General features: G+C 35.2%; 1 protein-coding gene across 3 annotated transcripts in view; it reads right to left on the reverse strand.

The window, feature by feature from the left end:
• Window positions 1-14,033, reverse strand: part of NME7 (NME/NM23 family member 7) — a 235,267-nt gene that overhangs the window by 151,909 nt on the left and 69,325 nt on the right. For all 3 annotated transcript variants that reach the window (NR_104229.2, NM_197972.3, NM_013330.5), the window contains exon 7: window positions 2,864-2,969. Coding sequence is in view for 2 of the 3 variants with exons in the window: in NM_197972.3 (NP_932076.1) it covers window positions 2,864-2,969 (106 nt within the window). In the remaining variant the exon portion in view is untranslated. The remainder of the gene's footprint in view (window positions 1-2,863; window positions 2,970-14,033) is intronic.

Here is a 14,033-nt window from a genome sequence, read left to right on the forward strand (position 1 = left end):
TTTTTTCTTGTAAATTTAAGTCCCTTGTAGATTCCAGATATTAAACCTTTGTGAAATGGATAGATTGCAAAAATTTTCTCTCATTCTGTAGGTTGTCTGTTCACTCTGATGATAGTTCATTTTGCTGTACAGAAGCTCTTTAGTTTAATTAGATCCAATCTGGCAATTTTTGTTTTTGTTGTAATTGCTTTTCACATTTTGTTCACAAAATTGTTGCCCATGCCTATGTCCTGAATGCTATTGACTAGATTTTCTACTAGGGTTTTTATAGTTTTGGGTTTTACATTTAAGTCTTTAATTCATCTTAAGTTAATTTTTGTATACGGTATAAGGAAGGGGTCCCGTGTCAATTTTCTCCATGTGGCTATCAGTTCTCCCAGCTATATGTGCAATTATTAAGGTATACAACTAGTATTTATTCTAGTACCACTTTATTTTATTTCACTCTCCTTGCAACATATTTTTCCTTGAAAAGGATTAGATCAGGTAAATTGAATAAAACATTTTAGGGTGTCAAGGATAAGCTTTTTAAAAAGTTGATGCCTATAAACAAGAACTTTTTCAAAATGTGAGTGTACTATGTGTGTTTATGTATATATGTATATGTACACAAATATACACGGGTGTATGTATGTGCATGTGTGTGTGTACAGGTTGAATATTCCTTACAGAAATGCTTGTGACAAGCAGTGTTTTGGATTTCAATTTTTTTTTTGATTTTGAAATATCTGTAGATACGTATTTGTGGAGCATACCCAATTCAAAAATCCAATAAACATAAACCAGTGGTTGAAAATGCTACAACGACCATTTCCTTTGAGCTTCATGTCTGTGCTCAAAAAGTTTTGGAGTTTGGAGTAATTTGGGTTTCAGATTTTTGGATTAGGGATACCACACCTGTGTAGACACTCACATACACATACACAATCTCTCCAGCTAAGAAAAATGAGTGAAACATAAAATCCCAGGTTTTTTTCCATAAATTTTCAACACCAGCCATTTCAAATATTACTATCACTTCCTATGGAATTGTTACTAATCATGTGCCATGTGACTTTTTTGTGGCTATTGCTATTAGGGCAATAGAGTATAGAGGGAACAGAATGGAGATTAAAAACAAACAAACAAACAAACAGGGTTTGCATCCTCAATTTCCATTCCAAATTAGGAGAAACAACTTAATCTCATGGAACCTTAGCTTGCCTATCTGGAAAAGAGCAACAAATTTACCTACTTGACATACTTGCTGTGAAGATTAAAAATAATGTATAAGGAACCAGTCTGCCACCTGGCACATAATGGTATATTCTCCATAAGTGTTTGTTATCCATGCTGCATGTTAGTTACTTATAATCATGGTCCTAAGGATTTACAATATACTAAAATACTTCCTAAAAAATTAAAGAAGTATTAATTATGCAGCAAGATCTTTAAGGCTCATATCCTTCCAACAAGTAATTCTATTTCTAGGAAACTAGCCAGAGGAAAAGATTAGAGATATCATCAAATATTTACGTATAAAGATATTCTTCAAAGTTTTAATTTTAATATCAAAACACTGAAAACAACCTAAGTATCCAAATACCATACTACATCTATACAATTGCTGTTAAATATTAAAGAATCTATTAAAATATTAATGAGGACTTAACAGCAGCCAGAAATGCTCACAAAAATTATATTTAAACAACAGCCTATAGACCTACATCTCAACCATTACATTCATGTGTAGCAGTGTACACACATGCACATACAAATGCAGAAAAAAATGATTTGGAGGAAATGCATCAAAACATTAACAATGACTATCTTCAGGTGATGGGAATTCAGTATTTTTTTACTTCATTTTTAATGGTTTTTTATTTCCAATTTTCTACTATATACATGGATTACTTGGATACTTAGGAGACATAAAATTTTAAAATCCAATCACTTCTGTATATTATTTAGTATATTCTAGTTTTTTAAGGGTGATCTTTTTAACCATACCCCATCTTACTTCCAAAAAGATTTGAGATACCTAACAAAAATATATATACCAGACTAAAATAAATAAAATAAAGAAATTGAGACAAAAATAAGAAAAGAACTTGCAAACTCTTTCTCTTTATATATGTATATATATGCAAACATGTATATACATACATATGTCAAAGAACTGTTTCAGATACAAAGAACTGAAGGAAATTTCTCCAGCCTTCTCAGAAAGGGTATACTAGAGGTATGGCAGACATTGTTTTAATTTGTACAACAGGAGTGCTATTGGCTGGGCACAGTGGCTCATGCCTATAATCCCAGCACTTTGGGAGGCCGAGGTGGGTAGATCATCTGAGGTCAGGAGTTTGAGACCAGCCTGACCAATATGGTGAAACCCTGTCTCTACTAAAAATACAAAAATTAGCTGGGCATGGTGGCATGTGCCTGTAGTCCCAGCTACTCGGGAGGCTGAGGTTGCAGTAACTCGAGATCATGCCACTGCACTCCAGCTTGGACAACAGAACTAGACTCTGTCTCAAAAAAAAAAAAAAAAAGTGCTATTGAAGTAAATTAAGTGAATCACAATTTGTGATTAGAAAGAGAGAAGGCAGACTAAAAGTCAATTAGCCAAGATCTGTAACAGTATGACTGAGCCTGAGCATGATCAGCAACTCAAAGAACACCTCCTAAAAATCCACAAAGAAAAGACAAATAGAGATTTAGACAGATTTTCCCTTATATTTTGTCACCTTTACTCAAGTGCCTTCAAAGAAAAAAAATGGAAATACTAAAAGTATACTTTATTTTCTATACATAAAGTACATCAAGAAAATAAACATTGCTCTCCTATTAACAAAATGTACTGAATATAGTGTATTCAACATACCTTCACTGACAGCATGGGGTTTAACAATGCAACAGGTACAATTAGTAAATTTAGCAGTGTTTGCCGGCCCACAACCTCCACTTGAAGGAAAAAACAACTCCATTTCCTAAAGACAGAGAGAAATGATTTTGACAAATGTGATCTCTTATCTTGAACTTACAAGATATTTCTGTGGGGGAGGAGAATCATGCAATTACTTTTAGAGTTTCATCATATAAATTTTTTGTTTCAGATTTTCTAAAAATGAGTTTTACAAAGACACACTGATTAAATTAACCCTGTTTCAAGACTTAGAACCAGAAGAGCATATAAAGAAGTATCAATCAAAGCAATGAGAATATGTGTCATTTTGTTCCAGGAATATAGTGGACAAAGATTTAATAAATTTTGAATATTGGAAATACCAATATAAAGTTCTTATTCTCCCCAAAGCATTAGTTAATTAGACACAAATTTAATTTTAAATTTTTCATTAAAATATGTAAAATAAAATTTAAAACTAGGAAATTTTATAGGAACAGAGATTAATATCAGGAATCTGAGAACTACAGCTACTTAAAACTAACTATAGGCCTAGTATAAAATAAAATCAAATGAACCATGTTTTATAAACAGATTCAGGCTGTGTTATTCACTTTGCATGTGGTTCACTAAAATGACAACACAACAATTTGAACTAGCCACAAAGATGTTCACACTAATCAGTTCTTTTAATTATTTAGATGCTTTCCTGTCTCTAAGCTTTCACTGCTATTATTTCTACTATTTCCTATAAAACCCTCTGACTCAAGCTCCAAAGAATCTTACCAATGTGTAAAGAGCCACCTCAAATACCACTTTCCACTAGGAGGCATTTCCTGATGCCTCCTTCCGGCAACCTTTGTTCCCCCAAAGTTATGGTTATTTGGGTACTTATCTTCCATCAAATCATAAATTTGAAAAAGAGGGAACTAAGTTGTATAGCTCTGTAGGACCCCTAGCACCTAAAACAATGTCTGGCTCAATGCAAATAGCCCTTGGTATACACAAGGGATTGGTACTCAAATCCCTGTGTGTACTCAAATCCATGCATGCTCAAGTCCTGCAGTCAGCCCTGTGGAACCTGCTTATAGGAAAAGTCAAATCTCTGTAGATGTGAGTTTCACCTCTTGCAAATACTGCATTTTCAATCCTTCTGTTGAAAAAAATCCACATATAAGTAGACTCGTGCAGTTCAAACCTGTGTTGTTTATGGATCAACTGTATTTATTTTTCATTAAATTTAAAATGAAAAGATTATAGAATGTGTTAATGTGCCACACTGATGAGCATTTTTTTAAACACAAGGATGATGAGGAATTATTCAAATAGTAGTGTATACACCTGAGCATTTCCAGTGGTAAGACACTAGAATAAAAAGTGTTCTATTCCTAAGATACCAACTGCCTTTCTATCATATTGCTGCCATTATTTATTATTCTTTTTAATCAATAACAACAGCAACTACCCCTTTTAGTCCTATACCAGATGCTTTGATTGCATGGTCCGAGAGAACCTTTATGGTACAGATGAAAATTCAAATACCTACAGGGACCTGGCAGATGATCAATGAAGGAATGAAGTAGAAGTGGTGTGACAAGAGAATATGATAGAGTAGCAAACTAGAAAGGGCATGCTCTTTCGAGAGTTCCCATTGGTCTGTTCCCTTCACAACAAAATTCAAAAGAAATGTCTTTCTTTTCCATTTCCATTTTTACTTCCTCTCCTACAGTCTCTTTTAAATCCACAACCAATTAGGTTTTCATTCCACCAAAGCTGCTCATTAAAATCCCTTACTACCTCCATGTTGCTAAGTCCACTGGTTAATTATTCTCAGCCCTCACCTTACCTGACCAACAGTATTTGACACAGTTTGTCACATCCTACACTCTGGAATGCTTTCATTACTTGCCTTTCTTCCTACCTCACTGGCTACTCCCTCTCAGTCTCCTTCGATGGTTTTCTCCTATCTAGCTGACCTCTATGTGTTGGAGAGCACCAGGGCTTAGTCCATCTTTATTACTTGTTCACTAGCAGTTTCTCAATGAATATTTGGGAATGACTGAAATTCAGCACCTAATAAATTCTGCATGTGCTAAACAAAATAAATATATCCACAGTGTACAAATGAGAAAAATGAGACTCAGAAAGCTTAAGTAACAAGCCCTTACAAGTTAGCAAGTGGCAAAGCCAGGATTCAAATCCAAGTGACTGTAGCTCCAAAAACCATGTACTTTTTCTATTATCTGTCTTTCCAAAGTAAAAAGCAGTGATAAATTGTTCTGTCTCTAGTTTAACAAATTATTTAACAATTAATTGACCAATTATTTTTGTCTCAACTTTCCTTTGATTTCTTTTCTCGCTCAATTTTTAAAAATAAAAATGCCAGCTTTCCAACTACCCAGATTTTCAAGTACCATATTTACCTATGCTGAATAAATATTTATTTATAAAGCATAAAGATTTTACATAAATATATCTTCTTAGTGAAACGTGAATAAGAGCGCTTTTACTAGGTCATTGTTATGGCAATTAATTCAAAGTCTTTATAAAACAAAGTCACAAAAATAATATCCAGGCTTCTTTGGGATTTGAGGGGCTAAAATATTTTGTATAAAGATCCTGTTCTTCCAAAGATTCCTGCTATTACTCTTGGCCTTTTACATTTTCCTAAATTCCCTAGTAGGAAAGAATAAATATTTATAGCTTTACAAAAAATTAAAAATTCAGACTGAATTCGAAAGCTTTAGGTATATAATTTTTAAATTTTTAAACAAATTATAAAGTATATAGTTGTACTACTTCATAAATTTTCACGCTGATAGGATTTCCTGGTAATTTCACTAAAGCATTTGTAATTAATCTATACTAATAATTTTATTATGATAATAAAAGTATGGCTAAATGGTGGCCAGTTAAAAGTTTCTCCAAAACTTTGTACTTGTAATAGTAATTTAAAATGAATATCATTTCTGTAAATGTCCCAAATTAAAACAGTATAGATCAATGGAACAGAACAGAGGCCTCACAAGTAAAGGCACACATCTCCAACCATCTGATCTTTGACAAACCTGACAAAAACAAGCAATGGTGAAAGGATTCCCTATTTAATAAATGGTATTGGGAAAACTGGCTAGCCATATGCAGAAAACAGAAACTGGACCCCTTCCTTTCATCTTATACAAAAATTAACTCAAGATGGATAAAGACATAAATGTAAGACCTAAAACCATAAAAACTCTAGAAGAAAACCTCAGCAATATCATTCAGGATATAGGCATAGGCAAAGACTTCATGACTAAAAGACCAAAAGCAATGGCAACAAAAGCCAAAATTGACAAATGCGATCTAATTAAACTAAAAAGCTTCTGCATAGCAAAAGAGAAATTATCATCAGAGTGAACAGGCAACCTATAGAATGGGAGAAAATTTTTGCAATCTGTTCATCTGACAAAGGGCTACTGTCCAGAATCTACAAGGAACTTAAACACATTTACAAGAAAAAAACAAACAGCCCCATCAAAAAGTGGGCAAAGTATATGAACAGACACTTCTCAAATGAAGACATTTATGCAGCCAACATATGAAAAAAAGCTCATCACTGGTCATTAGAGAAATGCAAATCAAAACCACAATGAGATACCATCTCATGCCAGTTAGAATGATGATCATTAAAAAATCAGGAAACAACAGATGCTGGAGAGGATGTGGAGAAATAGAAACGCTTTTACACTGTTGGTGAGAGTGTAAATTAGTTCAACCTTTGTGGAAGACAGTGTGGTAATTCCTCAAGGATCTAGAACCAGAAATAGCATTTGACCCAGCAATCCCATTTCTGGATATACACCCAAAGGATTATAAACCATTCTGTTGTAAAGACACATGCACACGTATGTTTATTGCAGCACTATTCACAATAGCAAAGACTTGGAACCAACCCAAATGCCCATCAGTGATAGACTGGATAAAGAAAATGGGGCACATATACAGCATAGAATACTATGCAACCATAAAAATGGATGAGTTCATGTCCTTTGCATGGACATGGATGAAGCTGGAAACCATCATTCTCAGCAAACTAACACAGGAAGAGAAAACCAAACACTGTATGTTCTCACTCATATGTGGGAGTTGAACAATGAGAACACAAGGAGGGGAACATCACACACCGTGGCATGTTGCGGGGTGGGGGGCTAGGGGAAGGATAGCATTGGGAGAAATACCTAATGTAGATGATGGGGTGATGGGTGCAGCAAACCACCATGGCACGTGTATACCTACATAATAAACCTGCACGTTACGCACATGTATCCCAGAACTTAAAGTATAATAATAATAATAATAATAATAAAAAGAAATAGACACAGCCACTTCAACCTTTGGCAAAAACAACCCTGATCAATCAGCAGACATCAACATCAAAGTAAGATCAGCAAAAAGATTATGACTCGCTGAAGGCTCAGATGATTGTTAGCATGCATTTTTTAGCAATGAAGTATTTTTAATTGATATATTCATAGTTTTTTTTAGACACAATGCTATTGCATTTAGTAGCCTACAGTATAAACATAACTTTTATATACCAGGAAACTAAAAAATTCATGGGACTCCCTATATAGCCATATTCACTCCACTGTGGTGGTCTGAACCAAATCTACATTATCTCTGAGGTATGCTTGTAGATGAATAGAACACAACAAATCGCTGAAATTGACCCAGATATATATATTCAATACATTTTCAACAAAGGTGCAAAAGCAATTAATTAAAGAAATAAGGTCTTTTCAGCATAATGCTGGAAGAATATATGTCTAAAGAATAACAAATTGTGATCATACCTTGCACCTTACATAAAAATTAACTCAAAATGCATCATAGAGTTAAGTATAAAAACTAAAACTATAAAACTTCTAGAAGCAAATAATGAAATATTGGTGACCTTAGGTGTGGGAACAGTTTGTTAGACTTGACACCTAAAGCACAATACATTAAAGAACAACTGATACTGGACTTCATCAGAAGTAAAAATTGCTCATCCAAAGATATTGTTAAAGAGGATGAAAATGCAAACCACATACCATGAGAAAATACTTGCAAATCATATCTCTGGATAAAGAATTTGTATGCATAATATAAAGAACTCTGAGCTGAGTGTTAAAAGGCAAATAAAAATTACCTGGGCAAAGGCAGAATTGGAATTCCAAGGCAGAGGGGTAGAATGAGTAAAAGCAACAGAGTAAGAATCCCACAGTATACAGAAGGTGAGGCAGGATATAAGGCTGGAGGAGGGGCTGGGAGACAGATCACTGGAACGCCTTGGAAACCATGTCAAGGAGCTTGAACTTGATTCTGGGAATAATGGAGTACTTTAAAAATTTTTAATAGTCATGAGATTGACGGATTAATATTTTTAGACAACTTGTTCTGAAGCCTATGTGGAAGATATATTTGAGGTAGAAAAGTATATTCCAGGACTCTTGCAGCAGCCCAGGTCAGAACTAGAAGAGTGATGGTAGGAATACAGAGAAAGGGAATAATTCAAGAAAATGTTCAGAAGGAAAAACCTACAAGATCTTTTGCTGATTCTATTAAGGGGATAAACAGGGCAGAAGAAAGAATACTGGCTCCCAAATTTCTTTCCTAGAGATGTACAGAATACAAAAGGAATACTTTGGTAAATTATAATCAGTGCAGGCTGGGCATGATGGCTTATGCCTGTAATCCCAGCATTTTGGGAGGCCAAGAAGGAGGCTCACTGGAGACCAGGAGTTTGAGACCAGACTGGGCAATATCACAAGACCCTGTCTTTAGAAAAAATAAAAAAAAATAGCTGGACATGGTGGTACAGGCCTGTAGTCCTAGCTACTTGGGAGGCTGAGGCAAGTGGATGGCTTGAGCCCATGGGTTCAAAGTTATAGAGAACTATTATCACACCAACCACTGAACTCCAGCTTGGGCAGCAGAGTGAGACTCTTGTCTCCAAAAAAAAAAAAAAAAAATTGTAGTCAGTTCAGTTTCAAATGTATTATTTCTATATAAGTCTGAAACTCTAAGGAGAATCCTAGATAGAAACTTAAGAAGTTAATTTACACTTTTCCATATAAAATTATCTCACACAATTTATTGACTAATCAATCTATCCCTTGTCCACTGATTTATAATGGCACCAACTTCTCATTATATTTGGGTCATCTCTTGAGCACTCTAGACTGTTACACTGATATACTTACCTACTCCCATGCTAATACCACAGTTTTTCCTACTAAAGCTTTATAAAAAGTCATGATATCCTTAAAATAAGTCTCACCTTATCATCACCACATCTTTTTCTCCCTCTTCAAAACTGTCTTAACTGTTTTGGACCCTTGGCTGTTTCATAAGTTTGTTAAACTTCATGAAAATCTGTGCTAAGATTTTGAATGAAATTACCCAATTTATAGATCAACTTGGAAAGAACTGATATCTTCAGGATACTGACTCTTCCCATTCATAAACATGGCATATATCTTCATTTATTTATGTCTTTCCTTATTCTCTAAAATAAATATTTATAATTTTCTCCATACAGATCTCCCACATCTTTTGTTCAATTTATTCTAGGTGTCATAGACTTTTTTTTAACCGTATGAATGGAAATCTCTTCTAAAATTACATTTTCTAACTGGTTATTTCAAGTATATCAAGATTACTATTGATTTTTGTATACTAATATTACATCCAGTACAAATTACAGATACAGGTTTGGGAAGCACCATGCAAGTAAAATATTAATAATAAAAGATAACATCCATTCATTAAATACTATGTTCTAGGTACTATACTAAGCACTGAAATAATTTCATTTAATCCTCAAAGACCTCTATAATGCAGGTTCAATCATTATCTTATTTTACAGACTAGGAAACTGAAAATTAGAGCAAGAAAAGCAGTAAACCAAGAAAAGAAGCCTGCACAATACCAGCATCTGAAAGGACAAGTGAAGGAAGAAAAACCAATTAGTAAGACACAAGTCATGGTCTCCAAAGACAGTATTTTCAGGAATGATGAAAATAATGCTAAATTTTAACAATTGCTCACAAATGAGTAGTCAAAGATAGCTGAGGAATGAAAATAGTGAGTATAAGTCTATGTTTTGGTAAAATCTGGAAAGATGGAATGAAAAATTAGACAATAACTAATAGGAATTCAAGGTAAAGAAGAGGCTGTTTGGGGCTGCATAAGTTTGGGGCTGTGATGTTTTTCAATTTTTTAAGACCTGTGGTCTTTGCTTCTTCACATAAGCTCATTTTCCAGCTACAATATTTTTCCTTAATTCCTAGAGCCACCTAACATAATGTCAACAACACTCACTCTTCCCCAGACAAGGGTAAAAAAATATATATCCTAAAGGGTTCATACAAATAATAGGATATTTCAGGAACTAATGGCAGAAAGAGGTTAAAAAAATTAAATGCACAAAATATAAACGAATATGTTTAAGACATTTCTTTAGGTGAAATGGCAATGGTAGCTGCTCTGGATTGGATGTTTGTTCCTTCCAAATCTCACGTTGAAATTTGATCCCCAATGTTGGAGATAGGGCCTAATGGGAGGTTTGGATAGTAGGGGTAAATCCCATGAATAGATTAATGCCCTCCCTCCAAGGTGAGCGAATTTTCCCTCTATTAGTTCCTCTGAAAGCTGGTTGTTAAAAACAGCCTGACACCTCTCCCGGTGGCTTGCTTCTTCTCTTACCATGTGATCTGTGCACACGCAGGCTCCCTTTTACCTTCCACCTCAGGCAGTGGAAGCTGCCTGAGACCCTCACGAGATGCAGATGCCCAATCTTGATGTCCCAGCCATCAGGACTATGAGCCAAATAAACCTTTTTCCTTTATAAATGACCCAGCCTCAGGTATTCCTTCACAGCAACACAAAATGGACTGAGACAGTAGCTAACTTAACAAAAGTTGCTCCACTACAAGATATGCTAAAATCTAACAAGTATATTTATGCTCAAATTTATTAAATAATCTAGTAGAAATAAAAAAGAAATGGATGGCATAAGGTGGTAATAGGGTGAAATAGGCAGGAAATATCAGTAAACATGGTAGTGACTTTCAGTTCAGCCTCAATTATTTCCTTCATTAATTAGATATGTTTATTATTTTTATAATGCTTTAAAATATGATTGGAAATTTAACTATACAAAACAATACCACATTTACAATAAATGTCTACTACTAAGATATGGTCAAAGACTATAATTGCTCTCTTGCATGTATCTTTAACTTCCTTAACACTTCCGTCACATTTGTTTCACAAAACCACAGCCATGGTTAAAAGCCAGCTCTCCACCTACTCCTTACCTTCAGCCATGCAGTTGAACAGGCTGGAGAACCACACTCATAGTTCATGGCCATGAACACTACATGGGCCATTAATTCAGTATAGCAATCACACACCACATTTCCCTGATCTATTCCTTTTCCAGATCACCATTTCACATATTCTTCTCTCCCTTCAGACCAACCAATACCTTATACCTCATCCTCACTTTCAGCTGTTTTGATCTTGCTTCCTACTTAAGAATCAGCATCTGTGTTCACATATTCTCCCTTCCCATCTGTTGCTATAGACGAGTACCTGAGAGGCACACCTGCCTAATCTCTCCACCTGGGTTCTAATTTCCATTTCCTTTTGCCTAATTAATGAAATTGCTCCAACAAGTCTTCCTCTTTTTCCTACATCATCAATTTTTTACCCAATACCTCTCCTCTTAAAAAAAATTGATACTACTTTTCTTGACAGCTACCACCTCATCTCTTTGCAGGAAAACTCCTCAAAAAAACTCCTCAAAAAAAAAGTTGTCTATATTCACTAACTACAATTCCCGTCCCACAATTTTCTTTTAAGTCTACTCCACACAGGGTTTTGCCTCCACCTCCCCATCAACATTCACCTTACAAAGTTCACCAATGATATCCACATTGCAAAATTTAACAATCCATTCTTAGTCCTCTTCTTACTTGCCTTATTTGACACCACTGGTCATTCTCTCATTTTAGAATATTTGATTCACTTGGCCTCCAGGACATAATTATCTCTCAGTTTTTCCTCTTACCTCTCTGGTGGCTCCTCTTCAACCTCCTTTGCTGCCTTCTTCTCCTTACCTTTTATCAAGATGTAGCTTCATCTTTGGTCCTCTTTACTTCTCTATCTATACCTTCTCCTTGGTAATCTCAACCAGTCTCCCGGCTTTAAATACCATTTATGTGCTGATAACTCTAAGCTGTCACACTAATTTTTTTCATCAGTCTAATTGGAAAACTAACAAACAGGTTAAGTTTATAAATGTCCAAAACGTTAACTCCTGATTGTCCATTCATTCTGACTCTAGCCACAGTTTTCCTCATTTCAGTTTACGTAAATTCTATCCTTCTGATAATCAGGCTAAGAACTTTGGAGTAATACTTGGTATCTTTTTCTCATACTCTACATTCAATCTAGCAGAAAATCTTGTTTATTTGACCTTCAACCGTTAATATATATTTTAAAATATATTTGTATACTTCTTTCATTATTACCACCCAGGTCCAAGCCATCATCTCACTGGGTTATTCCAACAGACTCCTGATTAGGCTCCCTGTTGCTGTTTTTGCCCTCTATAGTCATTCTTTTTTTTTTCCCCCGAGATGGAGTCTCACTCTGTCACCCAGGCTAGAGCACAGTGGCATGATCTCAGTTCACTGCAACCTCCACCTCCCTGGTTCAAGCAATTCTCCCACCTTAGCCTCTGGAGTAGCTGGGATTACAGGTGGGCGCCACCACACCCAGCTAATTTTTGTATTTTTAGTAGAAACAGGGTTTTACCATATTGGCCAGGCTGGTCTCGAACTCCTGGCCTCAAATGATCTGCCCGCCTTGGCCTCCCAAAGTGCTGGGATTACAGGTGTGAGCCACCACTCCCAGCCTCTATAGTCATTCTTAATGCAACAGCCAGAATGATCCTTTTAAATGGCAAGTGGAAGATATCAGTCCTTTGTTCAAAACCCTAAAATGGCTCTCTATTTTTTCAGAGAAAAATCTAAAAGTACTACTACGGCCTATAAGACCATATAATCTTTCCCCTAATTACCTCTGTAACCTCATCACCCTCTTCCTCCCTCTCTCATTCCTATCCAACCACACTGTCCTCTTTGCTGTTAGTTGACCATTCCAGACAGAAATATGCTATTCAAGGAATAGCGAGATGGTTAGTGTGCCTGGAACACAATGATTAAGATAGAGATTGATCAAAGATACAGTTAGAGATAGATATGGGCCAGACTAGATAGAGCATTGGAGGCCACAATAAAGACTTTAGATTTTATTCTAGAAGAGACAGAAATTCACTGAAGGGTTTTCAGCAGGTGAATGTTAATCTGATTTGTCTTTAAAAGATCACTGGGCATAGCTGATTTTACTTGGGTAAGGTAAAATTTTCATTAATTGAGTGTAAGAAAAGAGGAAAAAAGAATTTGGAGGCTATTGTAGCAGTTCTGGCAAAATATAATAGTGATTCAGACCACAATGATCAGATTCAGGGTTTATTTTGAAAGAGCTGAAGGGACTTGCTGATGAAATGGTAGGAAAAAGAAAGAAATCAATTATAAAACTGTCTAATATTGTTTCATTGCAAACACAACCAGATTAAAAACTACCTTAAGTGAGACACTTCTCACGATGCTAAAAATAAACTTACACTTCTTTAATTCAACCTCAGTATAAATCCAATAAATGCTTTATTTATATGGATTTAAAAATAAGGAGTAGAGAAACTTTCATAAACACTAGCTATATATAGGAAAATAATAGGATGTTAAGCTTGAAAGCACAGTGTTACGTCTGAATCAAAAGGAAATATCTCAAATTATATCTTCTTTTTAATATCTACTAGCCATAAACTGGTATTCTTACATGAATTCAATAATTCAAACATTTAGGAGCCTCAGTAATTTAAGTCTTGGGAACAAGAAACAGGATGAGAAGTGTTTTAATTGGAGAAAACTTACGTTGATCATGATCAGGTTACCAGTTCACAAAGGAGACACACTGAATCACTGTTTGATAGTAGGCAAGATGTCAAAGGTTTTCTCTACTACTAGAGCAGCAGCATAAATCCACCCTAAGT

The sequence above is a fragment of the Homo sapiens genome, chromosome 1, assembly GCF_000001405.40.
Source record: "Homo sapiens chromosome 1, GRCh38.p14 Primary Assembly".
NCBI classification, from domain to species: domain Eukaryota; kingdom Metazoa; phylum Chordata; class Mammalia; order Primates; family Hominidae; genus Homo; species Homo sapiens.